This window comes from Homo sapiens, chromosome 16, assembly GCF_000001405.40.
Source record: "Homo sapiens chromosome 16, GRCh38.p14 Primary Assembly".
Lineage (NCBI taxonomy): Eukaryota > Metazoa > Chordata > Mammalia > Primates > Hominidae > Homo > Homo sapiens.
Genome location: NC_000016.10, coordinates 84,054,908 through 84,069,254, shown reverse-complemented (window position 1 = coordinate 84,069,254; position 14,347 = coordinate 84,054,908). Strand labels below are relative to the sequence as shown.

General features: G+C 46.9%; 1 protein-coding gene across 3 annotated transcripts in view, besides 2 other annotated features; it reads left to right on the top strand.

Moving 5' to 3' along the window:
* MBTPS1 (membrane bound transcription factor peptidase, site 1) overlaps nucleotides 1-14,347 on the top strand; it is a 63,180-nt gene that overhangs the window by 47,688 nt on the left and 1,145 nt on the right. For all 3 annotated transcript variants that reach the window (NM_003791.4, XM_047434831.1, XM_047434830.1), the window contains exons 15-22: nucleotides 801-916; nucleotides 1,432-1,588; nucleotides 2,642-2,766; nucleotides 3,488-3,565; nucleotides 5,810-5,950; nucleotides 8,442-8,573; nucleotides 9,827-9,953; nucleotides 13,120-13,250. In NM_003791.4, the coding sequence (NP_003782.1) occupies nucleotides 801-916; nucleotides 1,432-1,588; nucleotides 2,642-2,766; nucleotides 3,488-3,565; nucleotides 5,810-5,950; nucleotides 8,442-8,573; nucleotides 9,827-9,953; nucleotides 13,120-13,250 (1,007 nt within the window). The remainder of the gene's footprint in view (nucleotides 1-800; nucleotides 917-1,431; nucleotides 1,589-2,641; nucleotides 2,767-3,487; nucleotides 3,566-5,809; nucleotides 5,951-8,441; nucleotides 8,574-9,826; nucleotides 9,954-13,119; nucleotides 13,251-14,347) is intronic.
* Nucleotides 12,829-13,421: an enhancer, noted in NCBI's record as "H3K27ac-H3K4me1 hESC enhancer chr16:84089439-84090031 (GRCh37/hg19 assembly coordinates)". NCBI's record gives its function as "activates a minimal SCP1, AML or CMV promoter by ChIP-STARR-seq in primed H9 embryonic stem cells {active_cell/tissue: H9 hESC(primed)}" and the evidence as "EXISTENCE:reporter gene assay evidence [ECO:0000049][PMID:30033119]".
* Nucleotides 13,422-14,015: an enhancer, noted in NCBI's record as "H3K27ac-H3K4me1 hESC enhancer chr16:84088845-84089438 (GRCh37/hg19 assembly coordinates)". NCBI's record gives its function as "activates a minimal SCP1, AML or CMV promoter by ChIP-STARR-seq in naive and primed H9 embryonic stem cells {active_cell/tissue: H9 hESC(naive and primed)}" and the evidence as "EXISTENCE:reporter gene assay evidence [ECO:0000049][PMID:30033119]".

Genomic DNA, 14,347 nt, shown 5'->3' with positions numbered 1-14,347 from the left:
TGACTTTCTCTTGGTGCATTAGCCAAGCTCATTTCTGCTTTTATGTTTGGACTACGTTTGAACTCCATGCTGAAAGTAGGGGAAGGGGAAGCATTGAAAGATGTGACCAGGATAGTTACAGAGTCAGACTTGCCTTTTAAAATAAGATGTCTCTGGCAGCCAGATTGGAGGGGCTCAGACCAGAGACGGGTAGACAGGAAGTGGTGGGAAGTTCATAGACCAAGGCAAGCCCGTTGGCCTGCAGGAGAGGACCTGGAGTCTGTGCTGCTGGGAGGTGAGAATGAGGTGACCCCTAGAGGGTGTATACAGTGTCCCATAGGAAAGTGAGCTCATTTGGGAGGGACGGGGATGGAAAGTTGACCAGTGGCAGTGATATCAGTTAGCTGTGCCGCTGTCTTAGCACCGTGGCCCTGCGTGGCTTGTTCCAGCGTCCCTGCACTCCCGCGGCTATTTGCTAAGCTCTTCTGTCAGACACAGATGGTTGCCAGCAATTTACTTGAACGCGACTGCTACAGTGATGGTCCAGGACACATTAAACATGTCTTTGGCCATTTCTTCTGGTCATTTTGTCTCTTTCATGCACCTGCCAGGCACATGGTTTCTTCTTATCAGCCATTTCCGTGTGTCCAGACCAGAGCACACAGGTCTCCTAAGCTGATGCCTGTGCCAGTGGGCCAGCCATCCAGGCCTTCTCTGTGGGCCATGGCATGGTGCTCTTGCAGAGCCGGCCCTGTGGCCAGATATGCCTTTATTGCCAGTAAAGATCGATCATTTTAATGCTGTGGCCTATTGTTTTTCAGGAATGGTGATCACATCCACACCAATTTCAGGGATATGTACCAGCATCTGAGAAGCATGGGCTACTTTGTAGAGGTCCTCGGGGCCCCCTTCACGTGTTTTGATGCCAGTCAGTATGGTAAGTGGCACTGCTGTGCTAGCCAGATGGTCTTTCCGCCCACTTTGGATGTTTGTTAAATGTCTGAGGAGTGAATCCCAGTTTTCAGTGATAGCTACCAAGGGAGTATGCGCCGTGGGCCCCACAGCTGGGTGAGCCTGGGGCGAGGCTCTGAAACAGGTGGTGGCGGTGTGACATTCAGCTGAAATACAAGACAGGCTGATTGGAGACAGGGACATTCGTACTCTTTTTTCTTTAAGTTAAAAGCAGCTCTGCTATATATTTTGCTCCTTCTCAAGTGAATGAAAATCTTTATCCTGAGCACCACAAGTGAAATCAGATCACAGTTAGTCGCTGTGTATTGCTGGATCCTGGTCCTCTACTTTTTAGTCCCTTTTAAAGTGGTACAGGGTGGCACAAACCAGACTGTTAGGTGTCAGTAACCTGAGACATGTACCTGGTGACACTGTTTCTGCCGTGGTGGTGTCCTGTCATTCAGAAGTGACAGTTCCCAGCTTTGGTTCTTTGTTCATCAGGCACTTTGCTGATGGTGGACAGTGAGGAGGAGTACTTCCCTGAAGAGATCGCCAAGCTCCGGAGGGACGTGGACAACGGCCTCTCGCTCGTCATCTTCAGTGACTGGTACAACACTTCTGTTATGAGAAAAGTGAAGTTTTATGATGAAAACACAAGGTACTGTTGATACGCATTGGTATTTGGATAAGACTTTTGGGGAATCAAATTCTACCCAGCAAATACTTAAGTGATGATTTGACCTGTTGGTGGTCTTTCCAGTTGGCACAGACACATTCAGAGAGCTTGATTAGAAAAAAAGCCCTTTCGACTGAGTGCGGTTGCTCACGCCTGTAATCCCAGCACTTTGGAAGGCTGAGTTGGGCAGATCGGTTGAACCTGGGAGGCCAAGGCTGCAGTGAGCTGAGATCAAGCCACTGTACTCCAGCCTGGGTGTCAGAGAGACCCTATCTCAAAGAGAAAAAATAAAACACAAAAAAGAAAATAGTCCTTTATACAGTAGAGAGGTTCTTGAAAGTTGCTCATAGAGTAAGATGTTTATTGAGTATGAGTACTGTTAATAATATAGAGGGTTCATTGTCTTTCCTTGTTAATCTTAGATATGAGATACTTCAGGTTTAAACTTCTGTTTAATTCTTTTCCACTCTCTGTTACTGAGTATATATAAATTTAAATGCACCAAAGGAACTGTTTCTTAAAGAATATTTCGAGTAAATTATTGTATATTTAAATATTGTATATTTACAATAATTAATTTACTTATATTTATAGTAATTAATTTACTCAAAGGGAATAATGTCCTTCCCTTTATTGGGATCAAGGACTCCCAATGTATTATAAACATAATCACCTTTATGTTTTGAATCGGTTTCTTTAGAATCTGTGACTGAACATTTCTATGCTTCTTTCTCATCTCCTTCTCCTTCACTGAACCTTGCTGGGTCTAGGCTAAGCAGTTATCTCTGGTGCATTTCGGTAAAGTACTGATTTTCATTTCATAAAATAAATTTTGCTTTAATTAATTCTACACATCAGCCGAAGCACTTAAATTTGCAGTTTTACCCAAACCCAGACAGTTGGTTTCAGTTGAAGCCTTAGTGTGGAAGGACTGGATTGTGGCAGGAGAAATTGAGTTTTGTCACAGAGACTAAATAACTGTGTATGGAGTGTCTTCATTCCCTGTTCCCTGTGTGTCTGTTACCACTTTCCCAGGCAGTGGTGGATGCCGGATACCGGAGGAGCTAACATCCCAGCTCTGAATGAGCTGCTGTCTGTGTGGAACATGGGGTTCAGCGATGGCCTGTATGAAGGGGAGTTCACCCTGGCCAACCATGACAGTAAGGCTCTGTTTCCTGAGGGCGTGGTCTTAGGTGTGAGAGCAGAAGCTCTACACCTCTGAAGTCTAGATTTCTTGAGAAAGAGAATGGTGATCCCTCAGTTAGCTGGAGTCTGTGGAAAGAACTCACCAGTATTTTCAAAAGTACATCTGTGAGGCTCTAGTTTTGTCCAGATTTTTTTTAAATGAAAATATTTTATGTAGCCATTCCTAATTTTAGTGCCACCTATTAGAGTCTTTATGTAGTAGTCCCAAATAGGAACTACCTCACAGCTTCTTAATTATTTACAAAGTGCTATTCATGAAATAACTTTGTGTTTCCCGTGTAGGAAGTTCCCCCACAGGTAAGGTTTTGGTAGCTGGTTTTGAGAACAACGTCGTAAGCATTCTTACTACCCATTCTGCAGGTCTGGACAGCTTGTTTTGAGCCTTTCACTGCTCTGAGTTATAACATCTATTCAGAAACCTAATGTTAATAGTATTTTTCTTTGATTATAAAATGTATTCAGAAACCTGATGTTAGTAGTGTTTTTTACTTGAATTTTGAGGAGATTACTTGTACTTTATGTGTGACAAGGCAATAGCAGCTCCTCCCTCAAGATTAAAAACAATTAAAAAAATACATAGCATCTGAAGAATGTATTTTGGGTAAACGAGTAGCTATTATTTATTAAAGTGTTCGGCGTTCCTGTGTTCCCTTGACTTTGAACACTCTTTCCTAGTGTATTATGCGTCAGGGTGCAGCATCGCGAAGTTTCCAGAAGATGGCGTCGTGATAACACAGACTTTCAAGGACCAAGGTAAAGGATGCCATTCATGGGCCTTTTGCTTCTTCTTTCTCTCGCTCCCTTTTCCCCCGCTTCTCTCTCTGTCTCTCATCTCTGTCTCTTTTTTAATAAAAGCTTTATTGCATATAATTTACATACCATAACAGTTGCCCTTTTAAAGTGTACAATTCGGTGGTTTTTAGTGTATTTACAAAATTGTGGAACCATCACCATTGTCTACTTCCAGAACAATTTTATCACCGCAATAAGAAATCCCATGCCCATTCGACATTTTGGTTTCTTTTAAAATTTATTGCAATATTACTTGAATGGTACCCACCACTTTGAGAGGCTGAGGCAGGCAGATCATGAGGTCAGGAGATCGAGACCATCCTGGCTAACACAGTGAAACCCTGTCTCTACTAAAAATACAAAAATTTAGCCGGGCATGATGGCACGCGCCTGTAGTCCCAGCTACTCAGGAGGCTGAGGCAGGAGAATCGCTTGAACCTGGGAGGCAGAGGTTGCAGTTACCCAAGATCATGCCACTGCACTCCAGCCTGGGCAACAGAGGGAGACCATCTCAAAAAAAAAAAAAAAACTACCTTCAAGGTTACTTGATGAATTTTTTTGTTACCCTTTATAAATTGTTCTGCTTCTGTGATTGCCAGATTACCAAGGTTTTAGAAAAATGAAAATGTACAAGATTCGTTTCTGTCATGCAAGTTTGATACTGTGTATTTCAGAATGAGAGGCCCCCTCCCTTCTAAAGTTGCCATTTTCTGTACGTGGACGTTAAGGATAGTTTTATTAGTTGAAAACGATGAAAAGAGAGGATTTCTCACCTTATCTACTTGCAACTGGAATATAGAACTTATTTTTATATTACCTGGAAGGGATTTTTTCCTTTTATCAAAAGCAAGTTTGATCAGTAACTGGATCTGTGTTTAATAGGTTATATTTCACCTTTAGGCACATAATGATTGTTTTCACAGTCACTTGGCCATGGGTTAGTGATTCTTTCTAAAAGCATTTCTCATAGACAGTATCACTTCAGGTTCTAGCTGTAAACAAGGGATCAAAGCGGTGGTCTCATTGGCTTGTACCCTCTGGGAGATCCTTGTTTTTGGTAGGTGGGTGGGGAGAATCAGAAGTAGATTTAAGGATATGTGCTTTCTTTAGGTGTTCTACTACAGTGTGAAAACGAAATTTTTTAAAGGGGCATTTTATTCCCATAAAGACTTTAAGTTGAATAATCTTTTGGGTACAAAATAAGAATTTGAAAATAGGAATTTGGGTTATGCCTGATCAGAAAAGACCCTGATGGCAGAAATAAAACTCCCATCAAATACCACAAGGCAAATGGCGGTGAATGTGTTCCAGTTTTTCCTGACTGCTTCCCTCTTCCAAAGAATGGCCTATTTTTTCTTCTACTCAGCTCCTAGTAGGATTCCTGCACAGAGAGCAGGGAATGTCACGTTTATAGAGCTACAGACATTTCAGATGTTATCAACACGGACAATACTAGATTCTGCTGAAGACGTACATCATGTTCTAGTGCTGAGGAAAGCAATTGAATTAGGGGCAGAGACTCCTAGATTATCTGGTGGTGCCACTGATGATGCTGCCTGTGGCATTTATACATTTTTGACTTCTTGATTCATTACAAATTTTAAATTATGTCATCTGGGCAAAGATAGGAGGCTGTGCTATTGGAACATGTGTCTTTGTGAAATTAATGTAACCGATGTCTTAAACCTAAATATAAATATGTGGACATACTTTTAAAAATTAGTTACATTTGTCCTAGCTTTTCATAATAAAACGTGAAACCTGGGTATTAGTATATATGACTGTATTCATAGAGAAACCTGTGTGTTTAGCAAGATCTGCTGGCTGCCCTTTGTGTAGGTGTCTGAAAACATAGGCCTTTCAGGATAATAAGAGGGGACACAATTTAGGTTTTTTTTTTAAGATAGAGGCAGCACCTTTGCAATTGTAAATATTATGTACTGCCATGGCAAGTAAAAATGAAAGTGGATAGATACGGAAATACACACAAAGTGAATTTTGCTAAAACAAATCAATGGCACTTAAGACATTTCTATTCTAAAAGGCTTATTCTTAAGGCTTTTCTATTCTAAAAATTTGCAATGTTTTAATTGAATATTAGATTTTGTAAATGTGGTTTATTTGTCACGTGGATGAAATATCAGGAAATAACTCACTGCTCAGTGGAAACTCTCATGGCTGTTGTTTTTTGTTGTGTTGTTTCAGGATTGGAGGTTTTAAAGCAGGAAACAGCAGTTGTTGAAAACGTCCCCATTTTGGGACTTTATCAGATTCCAGCTGAGGGTGGAGGCCGGATTGTACTGTATGGGGACTCCAATTGCTTGGATGACAGTCACCGACAGAAGGGTAGGAAAAACGCAGATGGACTTTGTGACTTCGGCACTCAGATCCTTTCTTCCCTTTGTCTCTGGAAAGGCGCCCGTGAGATGCTGGCAGATCAGCCGACATCTGTTCACTTGAGCCAGGCTCAGCTGGAGATGTTGCAGTCACTTTGATTGCTTGGAATATTTTGATAGGTGTCTGAGTGTGCACACATTTAATAAGCAAAACAAAGCTACTTGTTGGGGCCATGATGCCTCTTCTCCATCTTCACCTTCCTGAGGCCAGCGGAGGCGGGACTCCCGCGTTGTGGTGGAGAGTCCCTTCCCTGACTTCCTTGGGGCCTGCCCCTCCCAGGCTTCCTACGCCGTGCTGCCTGGACTTTGTGGGCACTGCCACGAGGGGGCGCCCTTCTCTGGTCTGACTCACTCTTTTACTGGAGGGCTGGCTCTTGGCTGTCCTTCCAGACCTGGAATTCGGGCTTTTCTTAGCCTTTATCAGTGAAGAGCGTTTGTTATCTCGAGGCGTGAAGGGGAGGCAAATAGGCATGCCAGTCCTCTTCCCTCCGCGTCTTTATGTCAGTCTCTCGATGCATCCGTTGGATTTGGGGGCTTGAGGTTGGGCACAGACTATTTTTCTCATTTTGTAAAGGGGAGAAAGAATGGTAAAAGTGCTCCATGTTTTTACCTGGTGAGATGATAATGACACCAGGACTGAAAGGCAACCTTCTAATGCGCTGTGACCACTGGGGAACTCGAGGCACAGGGCGGGTGGTGAGTGACAAGAATGAGGCACTAACAGCGTGCGCTGAGAGGTGTGTGTGTGCCCCTCCGTTTCAGGCTGAAGTTGACTACATTCCTGGCATTTATGTAAATCCCTAGACTGGGATGGGTCTTTTTAAAAATCAAAAATGGGCCGGGCGCGGTGGCTCACGCCTGTGATCCCAGCACTTTGGTAGGCCGAGGTGAGTGGGTCACAAGGTCAGGAGTTCATGACCAGCCTGGCCAACACAGTGAAACCGCGTCTCTACTAAAAATACAAAAATTAGCCAGGCGTGGTGGCGTGTGCCTGTAGTCCCAGCTGCTTGGGAGGCTGAGGTGGGAGAGTTGCTTGAACCCGGGAGGCAGAGGTTGCAGTGAGCCGAGATCGTGCCACTGCACTCCAGCCTGGGTGACAGAGCAAGACACTGTTTTAAAAAATAATAATAAAATAAAATTAAAATTAAAAGTGAGGGTTAAAGTCACAGTTAAAGGAGGTTAATGTTTTATTTCCACAGAGATTTTAAGACCTGAGATCTCCTGGTAAGAGTCTTTATTAAATTGTAAATGCCTGAGAGGGTGGTCCTAGGCCTTACATTTAAAATGGCAGCTTTTTTCATCTTTCAGGGGCATTAAGCACTTGACCAGAAGTGCCCTTTAATGAGAGGAAAGTACTTAATGGCATTTTTCTCACACGGATCTTGTCTAGTCCAGGTTGATGTTAATGGAACTTGAAGGGGCAGACACAGGAGAAACAAGATGGAAACAGAAGCTCCAGGTTTCAATACCAGGTTGCGCCTTCCCTCTCAGAAAGGATCCTTTGTGAACGGGAGCTGTTGCTAGCCCAGTGCCTCGACTCTGAGGTGTCCCTGAAAACAAATTGCCCTTTCTCTGCTGTCACACTTCCAGTGGTCAGGGCCCTGCCGACTCGAAGCCCAGCTCAAGTGAACAGATGCTGCATGGGTGTTGAGCCTTGCCTCCACCCCCTGGGGTGTCAGTACAGTTCCTTCTCCCCAGGAGAGCCTCTGGGATGCAGCAGGAGCCATGGCCCTCCGTTCTCCTCTCCCTGTTGCCCCTGAGACCCCGCTCTCAGGCCCTTCTTTTCTCAGTGGGTGTCACATGGTCTCACTGTCTCTGAATGAGCTCCATTCTGCCCCCATCCATGAGGAGCTGAGTGTGGCACTCAGGCAGTTGGTGCAACCTGGTGGACAGTGGTGCTGACCACCTGGAACCCTGGGGCACTGGGAGTGGAGCCCTGGTCAGGTCATGGCTGTGTGTGCTTATCTGGCTGGGCTGGGCCACTGAGAATGCATGTCTTATGAGAATAGGGGAATCTGGAACATGTTGGATTTACTTTGACCTAAACTCGTGACTTCTGAACTCCCATTTCCCCCACTTTTGGGGACTAACTTAAAAAAAATTCCTTTAGAGATTTCTTCTTAAAAGCTAAATTCCGGGCCACGTGTGGTGGCTCACACCTATAATCCCAGCACTTTGGGAGGCTGAGGCAAGAAGATCACTTGAGCCCAGGAGTTTGAGACCAGCCAGACCCATTTCTGCAAAAAATAAAAAATTAGCCGGGCATGCTGTCATGTGCCTTCAGTCTCAGCTACTTGGGAGGCTGAGGCAGGAGGATCACTTGAGCCCAGGAGCTCAAGGCTGCAGTGAGCTATGATTGCGCCACTGCACTGGGTGACAAGAGCGTGACTCTGTCTGGAAAAAAAAAAAGGAATTCCTAAACAGGCTTGTTGACTTCGCAGACTGCTTTTGGCTTCTGGATGCCCTCCTCCAGTACACATCGTATGGGGTGACACCGCCTAGCCTCAGTCACTCTGGGAACCGCCAGCGCCCTCCCAGTGGAGCAGGCTCAGTCACTCCAGAGAGGATGGAAGGTGAGTGGATGGGCAGGATGCCTTGGGGAGGGAATTGGATCCAGCTGAACATGATGCTACTTCAGCCAGTGGCTGTGCCTGCCAGCAAGTGGGGCCAGTTTGTGTGCGCCGCTGAGTGGTTTTCGTAATGGCTGCGGGTAGAGCAGCACTCAGCGGCTCTAACCTGCCGAGAGGCCATCCTTAGTCCCCAGAGGGCCATGATCGAGGACCCAGTGTGCAGCTGCTTTCCCACGTGCACCCCGACCCTCACGCCACTCTGAGTGTGTTTACCGTCCCGCTCTCACAGGTGAGGACAGTGGCTCCTACAGATCTTCAGGAAGAATCACCAACATTCTAGAGCACTTGCCAGGTCCCATGCAGCAGGCTGGGATGCTCCCATGGATTACCTCACTGTCCCCTCTCAGTAATCCTGTGAAAATAGATGTTATTATTCCCAGTTTCCAGATGAGGAAATGAGAGCTGAGAGAAATTAGATAACTGCCTGAGATCGCCTGGGCGGTATGTGGTGGTGGAGCCTCAACCCGCCTCTGGGGCCTGTGCTGGTGCCGTGGGGCCGCCAGCTGCTTGGCACTTAGTGGGGTGGGTATCAGTGCGTCTAAGTCCCTGGTGTGCTGGTCCTTACAGCGCTGCCCGTAGAAGGCTCATGGGAACCACAGGCATCATTTAAAATTTTCCAGGAGCTGCGTTTAAAAAGTAAAAAGAAACACAGATGAAACTATTTTAATAATATACTTGAGCCCAAGACATGAAGAATATTAGAATTTAAACACGTGATACCTTATTTCACTTGCTCAGTAGCTACGTGTGGTTGGCACAATGGTGCAGATCTAAGAAATAGAAAGAATTTTGAAAATGCAGAGTGGTTTTTTATTTGGCCAGAGAATTAAATATTTTAGAAGAGAAGTATTTTTTCCATGAAACCGGTCTGTAGCTTAGATTTCGCAGGTGTAGCCTTGCGTGTGTCAGTGGTGGTCAGCAAAGTTTGACCAGCCAGTGCTGTGCACACATCTGCCCATCTTCAAGGGAACGGTTCTGATTTTCTCACCCACCTTCAGCAATGGAAACACACATTGTCCGGGAGGAACCAATCAGGCGTGGCTCCTGCGGCTCATGGAGGATAGCTTAATAGAGCACAGGGGCTCTGTGCTGTGTTGTGGGAAAGCAGACAGACTCATAATAAGGCCCTCCTTTTTCCTTTGCATTTTAGTAATAGAGATGATTTTCCTTTTTGTTGATGTTGCTGCTAACCACAGGAAACCATCTTCATCGGTACTCCAAGGTTCTGGAGGCCCATTTGGGAGACCCAAAACCTCGGCCTCTACCAGCCTGTCCACGCTTGTCTTGGGCCAAGCCACAGCCTTTAAACGAGACGGCGCCCAGGTTAGTGTCCGCCTGTGCCCTTCCACTCTTTCCACGGGGCTTGTGAGTCATTGCTTTTCTTATAGGAGAGAATGGAATTTTACTGACATCACTATCGAATTGTCAGATCTTCAAGCTTGTCATTTGCGACAGTTATTTAGTGAACCTCGTATTGGCCTTTGGAAATAGGCTCTTTGGTGGTATCCTGCATAAAAAGTGCTTTGGATAATTAGCATTTTGTTACATTTGGTTAATTCTTTTTTAAAAAGCTGGGATCCAACAGAGTGATTTCATGGGAGCTGGAGCTCTAAGTCCTGTGGTTGGGGAGTTAAGAGCTGCCGGCTGCAGTGTGTTCCCTGTTTCAGACATTGATGATAAGATACAGATAGTTCCCTTCTTCTGTCATCCCCGGGGGCCGCGGTTGCAGCCTGTCCAAGAAGAGCATGCTTCTGTGTCATTACGTCCTGTGCTGACTGTGACTGGGGGTGAAAGCACCCGCCTCCGATGGCAGGCTGTGACCTCTGCTGCTGTCTCCACACTCCTGTTTGCAGTGCCGCCTGGATCCCTTCTCCAGCTCACTAACTCGGCTTCTTCATTTGCATCGTTTCCTTTCCGTACCCAGTGTTTGAGGTGGACCTGCTGTTTCCCTCTGTGGCTAGGACCAGCTCGGCATGGCTGGTCCCCTTTTTCTCCAGATGCCACCCCCTTACTTTTTCTGTGACGTCCCTGGCCCAAACAGGACAATATAAGAAGAAAGGGGGAGCTTCTCCTGAGAAAGGGGATGAAGCCAGGGACAGCTGTCAGAGCTGTGTCCGTGGCCGGGCAGGCACACCTCCCACCCCATCAAGCAGGAGTCTTGCCCTCCGAGGCCCCCTGGCCGCCTGGTACCCGGCCCCTCTCCCCAGCCCCTCAGGCAGGAGGCTACCCTCTTGACAGGCCCCCTGCCTGCCTTCTTTTCCTCCAGTGATGGTATGGGGCCAGGGACGGAGGCCACCTTCCGTCCTGTAAGGCGAAGAGGAGAGTGCCCGTGTGAAGGTGGCGAGGCTGCCTTCCGCCTTTACTCCTCATCATAAACCGAAAGTGCTGAACACACCACGCACTGACCGTATGTCTTCATTTCGAATATGCTTAATAGAACACAGGAAAATGGTAGAATCATCACATTGTCTCATCAGTAGCTTTCTTCCTGAACCTTAATCACTGGGTACTTTTCCATTCCAGTTCACATCTCATCATTTAAACATTTCTGATAAGTTTCCATTTTTGCATCTTATTTATTTATAACCTTCTATTAGCCTAGCATTCAAACCAGCATTTATATTCCAGCCATGGTCAGCAATTCATACTCAGTGAACAGTGTTAGCTGAATTTCCAGAAACCCAATTATTCTCCACAGTGTTGTTCAGGACTTGAAGCAGATAACAATATCCTTTCTATCCTTGGCTATCTACCTGTTCACATCAAATAATCCATCACATACTGAACCGGCCCATCCAGCATGTTGATAATGGACAGCTCCTGGAATTTGATTTTCACAATCACTCAGTAATTCCTTCTTCTCAGTACGCTGCTGGGTTTTACATTTATCTTGCTTTTCATATCTTGTTGAAAATTATTCTCGGTCCCCAGAGACCTAGATCGACGCATATTCTGAGTCTCCAAAAGAGATTTGAGACCAGGAGACAGCTCCAGATGCTGTCAGCCCAGTGCTGGGGGCAGGCTTCCATCTGTGAAGTGGAGAGGCGCTTTGGGCTTCTTCGTTGGCATCAGGTGCCCATACCTAGGGCAGCTGTGGAAGTGTCAGCGTCCTCCCTGAGAGGAACTCCTGCTCCGGTGGCTCCTCAGTCCTTCCGTCAGTATGCTGTAAAGCACCCACATGGTAATGGGTGTGGACTGTTACCATGACTGCTCCACTAGAAAGTGCCATCACCAAAGAATGAGATTCTGGAACAGGATATCACTGTTAGAATGGAAATATAGCCCATAGATATTCAGCTACAAAGTCATAAAGCCTAAATGTCATTGATTCCGTAACTTAACACTGTCAGTTTAACTTTCAGACTGATTAAGCCTGAAGTGTAAAATTAAATCCTATAAAATAGGGCGGGTTATAATGAGTGCTCATTGGCATTCAGGCAGTTGCCGAGCTGGGAGTATCGAGTGGGAGTCTCTCTCTTGCCTGCCTAGGGAACCTCTACTCAGACCAGCCCTTGCCCGCCAGCTTGGCGTTGACTTTCAGCCTAATTGCTGATAGGACTGGACGTCTTTGCTTTCACTTGCCCAAAGTGAAAGAGACAGGCTGACAGTTTCCAAATGAATAAATAACAGAAAAATAGAGAAATTTTAATTTGCAAACTTACTGTATTCTTCCCCCTCACTTAAGCCAGAGTAGTGTTTTTCCCATCGCGCTCTTCGCTCTAGCTCCGGTGTCCTCCCAAGCTCTGTGCTGCTGTTGCCAGCGTATCAACCTCTCTGTCTTCTTCGGGTCTAAGTTGTATTGGCCTGAACGAGTTTTTCAGATCCCAGAGTTAATAATGATACTGTGCACCACAGAGTGCAGGAATCGCACACGTTCATTTGATCGTCCCCCGCCTGCAGGCAAGGCAGATGGGGACCCCACGTTTTGCTGCTCAGACTCTCTCCCACTGTTGGTTCCTTGTATGTTTCGTATTCTCCCTGGAGACAGTGGTTTCTTCAGAGACAAAGATGCTGTCTGGTTCCCGGCACCAGTTTGCCCACTTCCTTATATGCAGTGGTTCTGGAATCACCATTGCCTCCGACTGCTCCAGGCCTTAGGGAGAGGACCTCGATAGCCCCAGGCTCAGGTCCACTCAGCAGGCTTCAGCTCCTCCCCCTGACAGGCTCCTTCCAGGGCCTCGCTTGGAGTGTCCTCCCGAGGCGCTTGGTCATGTTTAGCTTTATGCAAAAACAGGCTCCTGCTGGTCATATTGTAAACTCAGTAGAATCTCATGAACAGGGACTTGATTTTGATCTTTCTCCCTCGGGACGTGGAAACGGCCACCATAGTTGCTGTCAGTGGCATTTAGGTGGCCGTGGACGCAAATGGCATTTCACATCTCCCCGTAGATCACTTGCTCTGTCTTGAGTTTCAGTTGAACTTCCTAGACTAGTACCTAGACTAGTACAATGGCTTATTTTTGTTTTGTTTTAATCCATTTTCCTGAAGTAACCTTTGGAAACATCAGAAGCTACTCTCCATTGACCTGGACAAGGTGGTGTTACCCAACTTTCGATCGAATCGCCCTCAAGTGAGGCCCTTGTCCCCTGGAGAGAGCGGCGCCTGGGACATTCCTGGAGGTGAGTTCTCGGCTGCTTTGTGATTGTGCTCAGTCATCCTGTATTTTGTTCAAAGGAGTCTCCCTCCCTCCCCAGGAGGCGGGCCAGACTCTCCCTGTCTCTGCCTTCCTGGGAGCTGTGGTGGCCTTGGCTCTTGGCTTCTTTTGTGGCACAAACCAGCATGAGCAAGGGCAGGCCTGACAGATTAAGAGATTGTTGTTTCCCTTAGAAAATGCTACCTAGATTTTCACATTTGAATTTATTTTACAACGGCTGGGTGATCTACTTAAACATGTTCAAAGTAACTTGCACGCTCTTTATGAAAGTTCTGCCAGCCACCTATTAACGTCCCTTACAGGATGCCTGTCTGCTGGTTTGGGTCCCAGCCAATGGCAGCAGCCGCCCTGGCTCCCAGCCCTCAGCCCAGAAGGCCCCTTCAGTTCTCTGCCCTGCCCCCCTGGGAGGGACTTGACTGAGCTGGGGTGTGTCCCTTAGGTGGTCTCATCCTGTCTGTCTCTCCAGGGATCCTGACTGGCTACATAGACTGCCTAGGGCAGGTTCTTCTCCACTACCCAAGGCAATTGGTACCAGGCCTTTCCAGCCGAGCCTGGGCAGTTCTTTTGCTCTAGAGTCCCCTGTACTCTTCCAAAGAGTTTATAGCTACCAAGAGGAGTTTCTCTGGGTTCCAGGAATTGTCCAGAAATGGGATCAGGAAGGGGCACCCCTGTCTGTGCAGTCCAGCCCTGGACACCACGTGGTGGTGCCAGGGTCCTGAGGGCCTTGCGCATAGGTCACGGGGTGCGCTGAAGGTAAATTCCAGAGCCCTTGGCCTTGCCCAGTCGTATTGACATTCTGAACCAGGGTCCTCTGATGGCCTCTCCTGGCTTTCAGCCACACGTCCCCTCCATGAAGGGCTTTCCCAGAGGCGGGGCACTGCCAGCGGTGCTTCTTCCGCCACGCCCCCTTTCTCCTCCTCCCACTCAGCTGGAACCACAGGCCCCTCCTTCTCCCCTGGATAGAGACGTGCCCATCTTCCCTTGTGTTTAGAGAAACACAGAGCGCCTCTGGGCCTCCCTTCGGTAGGTTGTGACAGAAGCATAGCTGGGCCTGATCATCCG